Genomic DNA, 15866 nt, shown 5'->3' with positions numbered 1-15866 from the left:
CTGGGCTGGGCGCAGTGGCTTACGCCTGTAATCCCAGCACTTGGGAGGCCGAGGTGGGCGGATCACCTGAAGTCAGGAGTTCAAGACCATCCTGGCCAACATGGTGAAACCTCATCTCTACTAAAAATAAAAAATTAGCCAGGCATAATGGTGGGTGCCTGTAATCCCAGCTACTTAGGAGGCTGAGGCAGGAGAATTGCTTGAACCCGGGAGGCAGAGGTTGCAATGAGCCGAGATTGCACCATCTCACTCCAGCCTGGGCAACAGAGCGAGCGAGACTCCGTCTCAAAACAAACAAACAAACAAACAAACCTTTTTCTGAGAGACACTTCTGGATTTTTCATCCCTGAAAGTTCTGATGGAAAAAAAAAATATTCTGGAGCTATAGTCTGTCGGTTTTCTGAGTTAGCATATTCTGATTGTTCTGTAAGTTTAGGCTAGCTGGCATAAAGACTAACAGTTGGCGATATCAACTACAAATCAAATTCCAGATAATTACAGAAGTTTGCCAATGTCTCTTGTAAAAACAGAAAAAGGTGAAAATCGATGGGAGCCTTTGTGTTTTCATACCTTTCCAAGGAAAGATTGCTTAATTTAAGAATATAATTACCAATACCTTTCAGTTAATATCTCTGTGAGATGTTAAACATTTGAACTGTACTTAGTCAAGTTATCTCTATGTGCTAAGTCCCAATGTAATGAATTCTGGGATTTTCCTTTCTGACTTAATGCTGAGAATGTGGTAAATATCACATTTAATAGCTATTATAAGATTCTATAGCTCTGGGCCAGTGGGATTCATACTTATTTAATTGTAGACATACTGAAGAGTTGATGAAGTGGGTGATATAAGAGCAATAGAAAGAAAACTATGTTTGGAAACTATCTATCTTAGGTATTAACTTCCAAACGGTATTTGTAAGCCCTGGTAGTATACGAGGAGTGCAAACAAGGAGTACAGAATATTGAAGTACTCAGGTTATATTTGTTATCTATCACTGAAGAAATGGTGTGTTCCTATAGCCTGTGGGCAGAAAATTAGCTTTCCAGTTTTAGGGAGGAAACTTTAAAAAAAAAAAAAAAGATTAGTGCTAATTATATACAGACAGCCCCTGACTTATGATGGTTCAATTTAACAATTTTTCCACTTTATGATGACACAAAAGTGATATGCATTCAGTACTTTGAAGTACCTATACAACAATTCTGTTTTTCACTTTCAGTATAATATTTAATAAATTACATGAGCTACTCAACACCTCATTATAAAATAAGCTTTTTGTTAGATGATTTTGCGACTGTAGGCTAATATAAGTGTTCTGAGCACATTTAAGATGGGCTAGGCTAAACTGTGATGTTCAGTAGGTTAGATGAATTAAATGCATTTTTTACTTAGATATTTTCAACGTACAATGAATTTACCAGGATGTAATCCCATCATAAGTCAAAGAGCATCTGTACTTAACAAAGTAGTAACATACTTTTAACTCTTCTGATTTTTCAAAACTTTGCTTAACAAATGAATTGAACAAAGGCCACATTTATTATCTAGTAATAATAAAAATGACAAATTAAAAATGTGCCTCTGATGGTGAACGATAGCTTAGGTAATGTTATAAGCTAAGTTTTACTCCCTAAAATTAATATGTTGACAGCCTAACCCTCGGTATCTCAAAATATAACTGTATTTGGAGATAGGGTCTTTAAAGAGGTAATTAAATTAAAATGAGGTCAATAGGGTGGGCTCTAATCTGACTAGTGTTCTTAAAGAAGAGGAAATTTGGACTTAAAGACATGTACAGAGTGTACAGACTATGAAGACAAGGGCAAAAATCAGCCATCTACAAGCCAATGAGAGAGGCCCTCAGAAGAAACCAACCCTGCCAACACCTTGTCTCAGCCTTCTAACTTCCACAGTTGTGAGGAATTAAATTTCGGTTGTTTAAACCTCTCAATCTGTGGTACTTTGGTATGGCAGCACTAGCAAACTAATACAGCCAATAAGGATTTGTTGATCAGGCAGGTCCTTGATTTATGTTTCCCATAGTTGAAGACTGCCTAGGAAGAGACACATCCAATTGGAGGGTAGTTCACCTATTTTCCCGGCTTAAAATTCTCTCATTTCTCCCCAAGTTTTTCTCATATATTTTCACAACATACTTGCCTCAACCTCGCCAAAAGCTGTGATTATTTTTTCTGTCTTTCCATGCTACAGCTCAAAGCACATAAAAAACAAAATGAGCAAAACAAGCAAAAAATACAAGATACAGATGAACTAGAGACAGAATAGAAAGCCATTCAGATAAATATCATTGTAAGAAAAATGCACAGCCTGGATTTATTAGAGTATATTAAAGGAAAGACAGAATCTTTGGGTACAGTTGACGAAGCCTTTCTCTTTAAAATTTAAACTTGGAGCCACATCAGTTTGAAGGCCTCAGATTGTATGACTGATATTAAACAATCCCATAAGGAAGTGACCATCTCAGAGTGGACCACCACTGAGCAAGAACAGAATGGGTCCCAAAAAAGAGAATCCAGGCAGAGGCATGGCCCTTATTCCTCCTGGCTAAGGGATACAACAGTTCCTCCGTGTAGCAGAATCAAAAGTCAATATCTGAATCCCATACTTTCTAGTATTTGTAGTTTTGCATATAATTATTCTTAAACCCATTATATGATTCAGGAGTGGACCTCAGACTGCTTGAGGCCCAGGTCTACTGAAGAATGCACCTGGGAAACTGACCTTTGCTTTATATAGTCTCATAGTAAAGAAGAATGTATTGGGTGTTTTCACTTGCCCCTGGTAAGCAGGAAGACGTGGGGCTAGAGTCGCCACAATAATCAGGTGGGCAGTAAGGTCTGGACAGCATGTAAGTATAGCCAAGTAAACTCCTCAAATCGAGTGACCAAGTGCCTCACTTTGCCTGGAACCAAAAACCTGGTTTTAACACAGAAAGTTTCATGTTCCAGAAAACTCCTCAGTCCCAGGCAAGCCAGGATGGCTTGACACCCTATACCTCGATGCATGCCGATGGTATAATCCCTGTGGAGACCTTTGGGAGACTTCTGTTTGGACGTATGCTGTATCATATCCTGCTTTACATAACAAACTGTCTATATCTGTATCCTTTGCCATAAAAGAAACGTCACAGCCTTTAGCTGTGTCTGCAGCATCTTTCTGTCATCATTCCATTGGGACAACCACACCTAATAAAGTATAAAGAGAGTTCATATTCTGTGGTATACATGTGAAGAAGTTCAGAATATGCCACCCCCAAATATGCTACTTTGCCATAAGAATTATTCTGAGCTAAAAGTGCCTAAAAAAAAAAAAAAAAAAAAAAAAAAGACTGGTGTGGCTGGGCATGGTGGCTCACGCCTGTAATGCCAGCACTTTGGGAGTCCGAGGTGGGCAAATCACGAGGTCAGGAGATTGAGACCATCCTGGCTAACACGGTGAAACCCTGTCTCTACTAAAAATACAAAAATTAGCCAGGCCTGGTGGCAAGCGCCTGTAGTCCCAACTACTTGGGAGGCTGAGGCAGGAGAAAGGCATGAACCTGGGAGGCAGAGCTTGCAGTGAGCTGAGATTGCGCCACTGCACTCCAGCCTGGGCGACAGAGCGAGACTCCATCTCAAAAAAAAAAAAAAAAAAAAAAAAAAAAAAAAAAAAAAAAAAAGGTACAAGGAGGTACAAGGAAATCATTCTGACCTCCTTTTGTCTTTTAAAAGCAGAAGATGAAATTTTCTTGTGAAAGATGCCCCCTGCTGGGCATAGCGGTTCACACCTGAAATCCCAGAACTCTGGGAGACTGAAGTAGGAGGATCACTTGAGGTCAGGAGTTTGAGACCAGCCTGGGCAACATAGCAAGATCCCATTTCTACAAAAAAATTAAAACACAAAAGAAATATGCCCTCTCTATACTAGAAGGAAAGCAATATTCTTATCATCAAGGATGGGAAGGTGAAACCAAGAGAATTCTGTATGGACCTTGTTAGAACAATAAAATGAGAGGAACATGTACAACTAAAAAAGTCCTGGAAATAAAAGAGAACTCTCCTACCTAAAAAGTTAATTAAATTTTTAATAACTACATTAATGACGTTTGAATAAAACAAATATACTTTTATAGTGGTTTTCTTTTGCTGGTAAACAAATTAACCAACTAGATAATGAAATGAAAGAGTAGATCCTCTGTCAGATTAAATGATGGGAATTTCAGAAAGGATCTGCCTAACAACACCTGCATACTCTTGGCCTGAACACAAGACAATGCAGCTTGTTTTTCTAATGGAAGTCCACTGAAGTCTAAGGGATAAGACTTCTATGTCTTTTCAAACTTGTATAGGGAACTCGGCACCAGTGTTAAAAGTGATACAAATTGTTAAGTTTTGTCTCTTGGAATGAGTTGTCTTTTGGGGATCAAAGTGTTCTGATTATTTATTTATTTATTTATTTATTTTTTATTATTATTATACTTTAAGTTTTAGGGTACATGTGCACAATGTGCAGGTTAGTTACATATGTATACATGTGCCATGCTGGTGTGCTGCACCCATTAACTCGTCATTTAGCATTAGGTATATCTCCTAATGCTATCCCTCCCCCCTCCGCCCACCCCACAACAATCCCCAGAGTGTGATGTTCCCCTTCCTGTGTCCATGTGTTCTCATTGTTCAGTTCCCATCTATGAGTGAGAACATGTGGTGTTTGGTTTTTTGTCCTTGCGATAGTTTACTGAGAATGATGATTTCCAATTTCATCCATGTCCCTACAAAGGACGTGAACTCATCATTTTTTATGGCTGCATAGTATTCCATGGTGTATATGTGCCACATTTTCTTAATCCAGTCTATCATTGTTGGACATTTGGGTTGGTTCCAAGTCTTTGGTATTGTGAATAGTGCCACAATAAACACACATGTGCATGTGTCTTTATAGCAGCATGATTTATAGTCCTTTGGGTATATACCCAGTAATGGGATGGCTGGGTCAAGTGGTATTTCTAGTTCTAGATCCCTGAGGAATCGCCACACTGACTTTCACAATGGTTGAACTAGTTTACAGTCCCACCAACAGTGTAAAAGTGTTCCTATTTCTCCACGTCCTCTCCAGCACCTGTTGTTTCTTGACTTTTTAATGATTGCCATTCTAACTGGTGTGAGATGGTATCTCATTGTGGTTTTGATTTGCATTTCTCTGATGGCCAGTGATGATGAGCATTTTTTCATGTGTCTTTTGGCTGCATAAATGTCTTCTTTTGAGAAGTGTCTGTTCATACCCTTTGCCCACTTTTTGATGGGTTTGTTTGTTTTTTTCTTGTAAATTTGTTTGAGTTCATTGTAGATTCTGGATATTAGCCCTTTGTCAGATGAGTAGGTTGCGAAAATTTTCTCCCATTTTGTAGGTTGCCTGTTCACTCTGATGGTAGTTTCTTTTGCTGTGCAGAAGCTCTTTAGTTTAATTAGATCCCATTTGTCAATTTTGGCTTTTGTTGCCATTGCTTTTGGTCCTTGCCCATGCCTATGTCCTGAATGGTCATGCCTAGGTTTTCTTCTAGGGTTTTTATGGTTTTAGGTCTAACGTTTAAGTCTTTAATCCGTCTTGAATTAATTTTTGTATAAGGTGTAAGGAAGGGATCCAGTTTCAGCTTTCTACATATGGCTAGCCAGTTTTCCCAGCACCATTGATTAAATAGGGAATCCTTTCCCCATTGCTTGTTTTTCTCAGGTTTGTCAAAGATCAGATAGTTGTAGATATGCGGCGTTATTTCTGAGGGCTCTGTTCTGTTCCATTGATCTATATCTCTGTTTTGGTACCAGTACCACGCTGTTTTGCTTACTGTAGCCTTGTAGTATAGTTTGAAGTCAGGTAGCATGATGCCTCCAGCTTTGTTCTTTTGGCTTAGGATTGACTTGGCGATGCGGGCTCTTTTTTGGTTCCATATGAACTTTAAAGTAGTTTTTTCCAATTCTGTGAAGAAAGTCATTGGTAGCTTGATGGGGATGGCATTGAATCTATAAATTACCTTGGGCAGTATGGCCATTTTCATGATATTGATTCTTCCTACCCATGAGCATGGAATGTTCTTCCATTTGTTTATATCCTCTTTTATTTCATTGAGCAGTGGTTTGTAGTTCTCCTTGAAGAGGTCCTTCACATCCCTTGTAAGCTGGATTCCTAAGTACTTTTATTCTCTTTGAAGCAATTGTGAATGGGAGTTCACTCATGATTTGGCTCTCTTTTTGTCTGTTATTGGTGTATAAGAATGCTTGTTATTTTTGTACATTGATTTTGTATCCTGAGACTTCGCTGAAGTTGCTTATCAGCTTAAGGAGATTTTGGGCTGAGACAATGGGGTTTTCTAGATATACAATCATGTCATCTGCAAACAGGGACAATTTGACTTCCTCTTTTCCTAATTGAATACCCTTTATTTCCTTCTCCTGCCTAATTGCCCTGGCCAGAACTTCCAACACTATGTTGAATAGGAGTGGTGAGAGAGGGCATCCCTGTCTTATGCCAGTTTTCAGAGGGAATGCTTCCAGTTTTTGCCCATTCAGTATGATATTGGCTGTGGGTTTGTCATAGATAGCTCTTATTATTTTCAGATACGTCCCATCAGTACCTAATTTATTGAGAGTTTTTAGCATGAAGGGTTGTTGAATTTTGTCAAAGGCCTTTTCTGCATCTATTGAGATAATCATGTGGCTTTTGTCTTCAGTTCTGTTTATATGCTGGATTACATTTATTGATTTGCATATATTGAACCAGCCTTGCATCCCAGAGATAAAGCTCACTTGATCATGGTGGATAAGCTTTTTGATGTGTTGCTGGATTCGGTTTGCCAGTATTTTATTCAGGATTTTTGCATCAATGTTCATCAAGGATATTAGTCTAAAATTCTCTTTTTTTGTTGTGTCTCTGCCCGGCTTTGGTATCAGGATGATGCTGGCCTCATAAAATGAGTTAGGGAGGATTCCCTCTTTTTCTATTGATTGGAATAGTTTCAGAAGGAATGGTACCAGTTCCTCCTTGTACCTCTGGTAGAATTCGGCAGCGAATCCATCTGGTCCTGGACTCTTTTTGGTTGGTAAGCTATTGATTATTGCCACAATTTCAGAGCCTGTTATTGGTCTATTCAGTGATTCAACTTCTTCCTGGTTTAGTCTTGGGAGAGTGTATGTGTCGAGGAATTTATCCATTTCTTCTAGATTTTCTAGTTTATTTGAGTAGAGGTGTTTGTAGTATTCTCTGATGGTAGTTTGTATTTCTGTGGGATCGGTGGTGATATCCCCTTTATCATTTTTTATTGCGTCTATTTGATTCTTCTCTCGTTTTTTCTTTATTAGTCTTGCTAGTGCTCTATCAATTTTGTTGATCCTTTCAAAAAACCAGCTCCTGGATTCATTAATTTTTTGAAGGGTTTTTTTTGTCTCTATTTCCTTCAGTTCTGCTCTGATTTTAGTTATTTCTTGCCTTCTGCTAGCTTTTGAATGTGTTTGCTCTTTCTTTTCTAGTTCTTTTAATTGTGATGTTAGGGTGTCAATTTTGGATCTTTCCTGCTTTCTCTTGTGGGCATTTAGTGCTATAAATTTCCCTCTACACACTGCTTTGAATGTGTCCCAGAGATTCTGGTATGTTGTGTCTTTGTTCTCGTTGGTTTCAAAGAACATCTTTATTTCTGCCTTCATTTCGTTATGTACCCAGTAGTCATTCAGGAGCAAGTTGTTCAGTTTCCATTTAGTTGAGTGGTTTTGAGTGAGTTTCTTAATCCTGAGTTCTAGTTTGATTGCACTGTGGTCCGAGAGATAGTTTGTTATAATTTCTGTTCTTTTACATTTGCTAGTGTTCTGATAATTTAAAACAAACCTGATATAGTCCTAAAACATATTTCTAAACACTTGACTTATAAAACAAAACAAAATAAACCAGTATATTCTACCTTTTAAATTGTTTCCGTCAGTATATGAATTTTGAAAACATTGTTCTTAAGGTTCTTTCTGAAGTAAGGAAACAAAGTGGAAGGTGGAAGAAAATTAAAACTCACGACCACCAGACGAGTTTCCTACACTTAACCCACCCTGCTGAAGTCTCACTTTTCTTCTGCTATGCATCCCTCAGCAGCAATGAATATACTAGTTTATAATGTTTGCATCTGTTCATTGCCGTCTGTTCATTGCTTTGTAATTATATGTGTGTGTTTGTGTGCACGTGCTTGTGTGCGTGCCTGCATGTGTCCTTAATTTACTAATATTTTGATCCTCTCCTTCTCTGGTTCTACCCTAGTCCAATCCAGTATGTCTGTGCACATGTGTGTCTCCAACCCTCAGACGGGGAAATAAATTCCTGCATATACCTACAGACACACTCCCATACAACAATGCATTATTGTATTGAGTAAATATTTTTTATTTTCTTAATAACTAAGAGACCAGAAGTAAACATTCTAAAGTAGTTACTTTGGGTCTTCATTTACTATGATAAAACAGATGAAAAGTGAGAGAGGTCACAGTCAACAAACAGATTATCACCTGTTCATTTATCCATCAGAAAACAGATACGCTAGGAAAATGGTAGGAATATGAAGGCATCTGTGACATTCATTCTCTCCATTTCTCTTTTTCTCTATATTAATTATTACTCAGTGACTCAGTTTTCTCCATACTCCATCCTGAGTACTAATTACATTGCTCTTTACAAATGATCTGAGGGGCAATTGTATGACATAGTATCTCCACTAGGCGGCACCTGTGTGTAACATCTCTACTTCAAGCCCAACATTTATTATTACATTATCTTCCAGTTTCGTTAAATGAGTACTGATAAGATAGCTTTAAAGCAATCTCTTTGAAAGCAAGTGCTCCAAACACTACTTCTATGTCATATGGGATGGCCCAATGATTTGTTGGTGAGATAACTAAAAACTTTCAATAAATATTTCTATGTAAGAAATACTTTCTTGTTTCTGTTCAGGTAACAGCTCTTCTTTATAATGAAAGTGTCTGATTGTGTGCTGTTTGCACTTCAAGAAGAGAAAGTGGGAAATTTCAGGAAAACTAATATTAATTAGATCAAGCCATCCATTAAAACAAAATTATATTTGTTTATATATATAAAATAAATAATGTATATCACTCCATTTTCTCATTTGTGTGTTGTTTTATATACATGTATTATATATATTTATATATAAATATTTAATAAACATTATATTATATATAACAACACACAAATACATGCTCATATTTTATATAAATGTAAAAATATTTATATATTTACATATAATATATACCATATTTATTAAATATTTATATGTTATATATATAAAAAATGACACAAAGGAGAAAATGGGGTAAAGGTGATATATACCTAATAGTACTTATATAAACTCATTAGCATTCTATATAATATCTTTGTAGATGGAGTTCTAACCTAACTTTCCTCTCTTATTTCTCATCCTTCCCCAGTCATATTCCTCACATCCTAGTAAAAAAAAAAAAATTATTTCCTATCATGTAGACAAACCATACTCTTTCAGACCTTTATGTCTTTTTACATGTTGTTCCTTCCTGGAAAGCCTTTCTGCTTTTCCTACATCTGTCCAGCTACATACATATTAAGACCCAGCTATATATATTATCTGAGACATCTTGGCTCACCTACTCTGTTAATGTTCCTCCTCTGACATGCTGATACAATAATTTGTAATTATTTGCCTGTTTGTCTCCTCACTTACCTCTGTAACCCCAACAGCTGGCATACACATTAAAAAGTGACCACAGTGGGGTCCAAAAAATTTAATTGCACTGGTTCAGAGTCACCTTATTGGAAGGTCAGGCTTGAGCCTGCTGTGGAGGATGAGAGTCAACTGCCATCACATGAAAGATGAATTCATATTATCTTGGGATGTCTCTTTATAGGGTCTCAGAGTATAATTATAAACAAGACTACATACTACAGATTTTAAGAATAGTGCATATGTGGGCCAGGCACAGTGGCTCACACCTGTAATCCCATCACTTAGGGAGGCCGAGGCGGGTGGGTCACCTGAGGTCAGGAGTTTGAGACCAGCCTGGCCAACTTGGCCTCTACTAAAAATACAAAAATTAGCTGTGCATGGTGGCACACGCCTGTAATCCCAGCTACTCGGGAGGCTGAGGCAGGAGAATTGCTTGAACCTGGAAGGCGGAGGTTGCAGTGAATCGAGATCATGCCATTGCATTCAAGCCTGGGCAACAGAGAGAGACTCTGTCTCAAAAAAAAAAAAGAAAAAAAAAAAAAGAATAGTGCATAGGTAAAATCCAACTTAAACTAAGCCGAAAGAAGGAAAATATTCATAGAAATAACAATTATAACACAATTTTTAACTAAATAGAGACTATGCCAAAAAGAAATCTGTACTCTAATATTCTTTGCAGTATTATTCACAATAGCCAATATATGGAACCATCTAAGTATTCATTAACAATGAGTAGATTAAATGTGGTGTATATACACAATGGAATATAATTTGGCCTTAAAAAAGAAGGAAATGTTGTCATTTGTGACAACATGGATAAACTTGGAAGACATTATGCTAAGTGAAATAAGCCAAGTACAGAAAGACAAATACAACACGATCTCACATATGTAAAATCTTGAAAAATGATGTGAGATGATGAATATGTTAATTAGCTTGATTTAATCATTCTACATTTTATATATATAAACATCCCGTTGTACATAAATACACGTATTATAATTTGTCAATTAAAAATGTTGATAAAAATAAACTAAATAGAGGCGCTGAATAATAGATGAAGAACAAAAGCACAACTGAGAATTAAAAGACTGATTTTAGGAATTCTTCTAAAATATGCATGACTGAGGCTTATTCTAGAAACAGAGGGATGGGCTGGGCACGGTGGCTCACGCCTGTAATCCTAGCACTTTGGGAGGCCGAGGTGTGTGGATCACCTGAGGTCAGGAGTTCAAGACCGGCCTGGCCAATATGGGAAAACCCCGTCTCTACTAAAAATACAAAAATTAGCCAGGTGTGATGGCAGGCACTTGTAATCCCAGCTACTCAGGATGCTGAGGCTGGAGAATTGCTTGAACCAGGAAGGCGGAGGTTGCAGTGAGCTGAGATCACACCACTGCACTCCAGCCTGGGCGACAAGAGTGAAACTCCATCTCAAAAAAAAAAAAAAAGAGAGAGGGAGAGAGGGATGGTTCAATATTTGGGAATTTGTTGATCTAATTCATTATATTAATAGAATAAATCAATATAATCATATGATTACTCAATAAATAAAATAAGCCTTTTGATAATACTCAAAATCAATTTTTGCTTTAAAAACACTCAATTAAATTAAGCATAGAGGGAAACTCTTCAGCTTGGTATTTATCAGAATGTTCATTATAAATAAGAGCAAACATATTTATTGAATAAATAAATGAATAAATGGATGGAATAAAACAGAATACAAAGCCCAGGCATGCTTACAAAGACTGCATTTGTTCCAGAGGCACTTTCCTCTTCTCTTCCTCTCTTACTCTAACAGGAGGAATCAGAAGAGTCACCAGAAAAGAAAATGTCAAGCCTCTAAACTGAAGATTCAAAGTGAAAACAAACTGGTGTCAGGCTAGGAAGAAAGTCAAGAAAGCATCCATACCATATCAGAATAAATAGAAATTAGGGCAGGATCATGCAAGCACAAGGACTACAAAAAGAAGTAACATAGGATTGTGGCAACTGTGCAAACAACACAGGGAGAATAAAAGCAAATAGATAAACTCAATCTAGCAAAAAATAGCTAAAAAACAAAAAAAGTTCCTCGCCATTGCTTTAAGCTATAGAACAACTTAATAGGAACACAGATTCAATATGACAAGAACTCAAAGACAAGCTGATGAAACAGCAGAATGAGATAAAAGGGTAGAGTTTAGGTGTAAGCAGCCAAATTGAGCATCAAAATTTAAAAGCGCAAGCATCATAAAATGGAATTATTGACAGAGAGAAAGGTTTAGATTATCACAGTGAATTCAGGTGAAAAGACAAGAAAATTAATAAAATTAGAAAGAACAAATCTAATCCTACATAAGGATATTTAGTTTCCCTAATGTAGGCAGTCCAAAAATAGAATATAAGATGTATTCAAAGACATGAGAAAATGTTCCTGAAATGAAAAAAAAACAATAAAAATCAAAAGATCACACCATATTCAATACATTTTTAAAACAAAATGCTCTATACCAAGACAATTCTACTTAAACTCTTTAACTTTGAGGATGAACTTCAAGCTAACAACCAAGTCACCTACAAAATAAGCAACAGGAAGACACTGACTTTTCTGTTTTCTGTTTTCTTTTTTTCCAGTGTTTTAATAACAGAACATAGAACAATGCCTGGCAATCAATAAAATATTTTTTGAACTAATTAAAATGAATGAAGAAAAAAAAAAACACTGACATCAGACTTCTCCACAACATTCAATACCAGGAAACAATTAAGCAATGTTTATGTTGTTTTAGGTGAAAAAAAAAGTGACCCAATTACAGTATACCATTCAAGGTATGGTTTAGGTATAAAGGCACTGTGTAGGCAGACATTCTCAATATATAAGAACTCAGAAAATATAGCACCCATGTGATCTTCTTTAAAAAACTACAATAAATTCAGCCAAGTAAGAGATGAATCAAAATAAATAATTTGGGAATAGCAAAACACATTGTAAAAGGACAGGAAATGAGCCTTGGATCCATTTAAATATTGAATTAAGATTAATCAACTATGGCAATTGTAATTACAGAAAAGAAGGTGAATAGTGTAAATCTGGATAAAATAAAAATTATAAAATAACTAAAACTGGGAAATAGACAAAAAGAAAGATATGAGAAAATATTAAATACTCTCATCTTTTATGGTAGGATATCAATTGTTATTTCCAAAATTAAAATATGTAGTTTTAAAAAATGACTGCACTCTTTTGTGATATATATTGCTATAGAGATATACAGATATGTATAGTTATTTCTTAGAATGTCTTTAGAATAAATTTTGTGAAGGTATGTTTAATTTCGGTAATTCCCTTATTTTCACTTTAGTGTCTTTTTCCTCTGTTGGAGTCAAGTACAATTATATTTTTATTTTCTAAGTAATCAAATGCTTGTAACTATTTATGATCATCTACTTGCTATGTACCCATCTATCTGTAGTGGCGTAGTATATAAACCTGTTTTGATGTTCACCTAAGAAATTAATGATGATTTAAAAATTCTCATCTTTGCACTTTTATGTGTTGTTTGGATTCTTTTTAATGGTCCTGTATCACTTTTACAACATTGAATAATTTTCCTTAGAAAAATATGCCAAAGTAACAAGATTTAATTCTGGGTGACGGTAATATGCATATTGTTATTCTATTTTTTGTGTGGTTTTTTGTTTGGTTGGTTTTTGGATTGATTTTTTTTTCTTTTTTTGAGACACGTTCTCGCTCTGTCACCCAGGCTGGAGTGCAGTGGCATGATCACGGCTCACTATAGCTGCAACCTCCCGAGCTCAAGCGGTACTCCCACCTCAACCTCTTGAGTAGCTGGGACTAAAGGTGCGTGCCATTGTGCCAAGCTAATTTTTAAATTTTTTGTAGAGACAGGTCTTCCTATGTTGCCCAGGCTGGTCTCAAACTCCTGGGGCTCAAGAGATCCTCCCACCTAAGCCTCCCAAAGTGCTGGGATTATAGGTATGAGCCACTGTGGCTGGCTGTTATTCTATTGTTTTGTATTTATCTGTGTTTCAAAAATTCCTCATCCTATCTCATTTAAAAGTTTTAAGATTATAATTTCTCATCTGAGTACACATTTAGTAGCATTCCATAAAATTAGATATAAGATTTTGATCCAAAAGTTATTGAGGAGAGTTTTTTAAATATTTTCAAATGGTTGGACTTAATTTTTAAGTTTATTGTTTTCCAATTGTATTACATAATAAGAAAAGAATATACCATGTCATATTTCTACCTTTTGGAACTTATAAGGCAATCTTTGTGGCCTATTGTCAATGAATTTTGACCAAAATTTTATGAAAATTGGAAGAGGGTCACTGTAAGGATTAAAGTTCAATATACACATATAATGAGTTATTGATATTAATAGGTTCTTTATATTCTTATTTGTTTCTTACCTCTTCAGTTTATCAAAGACTTTTAAAAAGTTTTACTACCTCACACCATAGACAAAAATTAACTCAAAGTGGATCAAAGACTTAAACAGACATAAATGTAAAAGCTAAAACTATAAAACTCTCAGAAGAAAACACAGGAATATATGACCTTGAATTAGGCAATGGTTTTTTGATATGACATCAAAAGCAAAATCAACAAAAGAAAAAAAATAGACAAATTGGGCTTCATAAAAATTTAAAACTTTTGTGCTTCATAAAAATTTAAAACTTTTGTGCTTCAGATAACACCATCAAGAAAGTTAAAAAACAACCCACAGAATGGGAGAAAATACTTGCAAATCACATATTTGATAAAGGATTGAATATATAAAGAACAGTTATGATCCAATAATAAAAAGACAACCCAATTTTAAAATGAGATCTGAATAAACATTTTTTTCCAAAGCAGATATAGTAATGACCAATAAGTTGGGAGTTTGAGACCAGCCTGGCCAGCATGGAAAAACCCTGTCTCTACTAAAAATACAAAAATTAGCTGGGCGTGGTGGCAAGCACCTGTAATCCCAGCTACTTGGAAAGCTGAGGCAGGAGAATCGTTTGGACCTGGGAGGCAGAGGTTGCAGTGAGGCAGAGGTTGCAGTGAGCCAGTTGCACCATTGCACTCCAACCTGGGCAACAGAGCGAGACTCCACCTCAAAAGAAAAAAAAAAAAAAAAAGAAATAACCAATAAGAACAATAAGAACATGAAAAGGTGCTCAAAATCATTTTTAGCCATCAGGGAAATGCATTTCAAAAGCACAATGTGCTACCACTTCATGCCCATAAAGATGGCTATAATAAAAAACAAAACAGAGAATAAGTGTTGGCAAGGATGTGAAACAATTGCAACCCTTGTAAACCGCTGGTGGGAATGTAAAATGGTGCAACTACAGTAGAAAACAGTCTGGCATTGTTCTAAACTTCTCTTCTCGCTTCATTTCATTAATTTGATCTTCAAATAAATATGGGACTATGTGAAAAGACCAAATCTACATTTGATTGGTGTACCTGAAAGTGACGGGGAGAATGGAACCAAGCTGGAAAACACTCTTCAGGGTATTATCCAGGAAAACTTCCCCAGCCTAGCAAGGCAGGCCAACATTCAAATTCAGGAAATACAGAGAACACCACAAAGATACTCCTCGAGAAGAGCAAAGCCAAGACACATAATTGTCAGATTTACCAAGGTTGAAATGACGGAAAAATGCTAAGGGCAGCCAGAGAGAAAAGTCGGGTTACCCACAAAGGGAAGCCCATCATACTAACAGCAGATCTCTCAGCAGAAACCCTACAAGCCAGAAGAGTGTGGGGGCCAATATTCAACATTCTTAAAGAAAAGAATTTTCAAGCCAGAATTTCATATCCAGCCAAACTAAGCTTCATAAGTGCAGGAGAAATAAAATCCTTTACAGACAAGCAAATGCTGAGAGATTTTGTCACCACCAGGCCTGCCTTACAAGAGCTCCTGAAGGAAGCACTAAACACGGAAAGGAACAACCAGTACCAGCCACTGCAAAAACATGCCAAATTGTAAAGACCATCGAGGCTAGGAAGAAACTGCATCAACTAACAGGCAACATAACCAGCTAACATCATAATGACAGGATCAAATTCACACATAACAATATTAACCTTAAATGTAAATGGGCTAAATGCTC

General features: G+C 36.4%; 1 protein-coding gene across 16 annotated transcripts in view, besides 1 other annotated feature; it reads right to left on the bottom strand.

Annotated features, from left to right (window-relative positions):
* Positions 1-15866, bottom strand: part of EFCAB5 (EF-hand calcium binding domain 5) — a 178550-nt gene that overhangs the window by 77808 nt on the left and 84876 nt on the right. The window lies entirely within an intron of this gene.
* Positions 8640-8934: a silencer, noted in NCBI's record as "tiled region #15362; HepG2 Repressive non-DNase unmatched - State 12:CtcfO, and K562 Repressive DNase unmatched - State 12:CtcfO". NCBI's record gives its function as "represses a minimal TATA promoter and a strong SV40 promoter by Sharpr-MPRA in HepG2 and K562 cells {active_cell/tissue: HepG2 | K562}" and the evidence as "EXISTENCE:reporter gene assay evidence [ECO:0000049][PMID:27701403]".

Source organism: Homo sapiens, chromosome 17 (assembly GCF_000001405.40).
Source record: "Homo sapiens chromosome 17, GRCh38.p14 Primary Assembly".
Classification (NCBI taxonomy): Eukaryota; Metazoa; Chordata; class Mammalia; order Primates; family Hominidae; genus Homo; species Homo sapiens.
The sequence above is the reverse complement of the archived record's forward strand: the minus strand, read 5'-3'. Positions and strand labels throughout refer to the sequence as shown.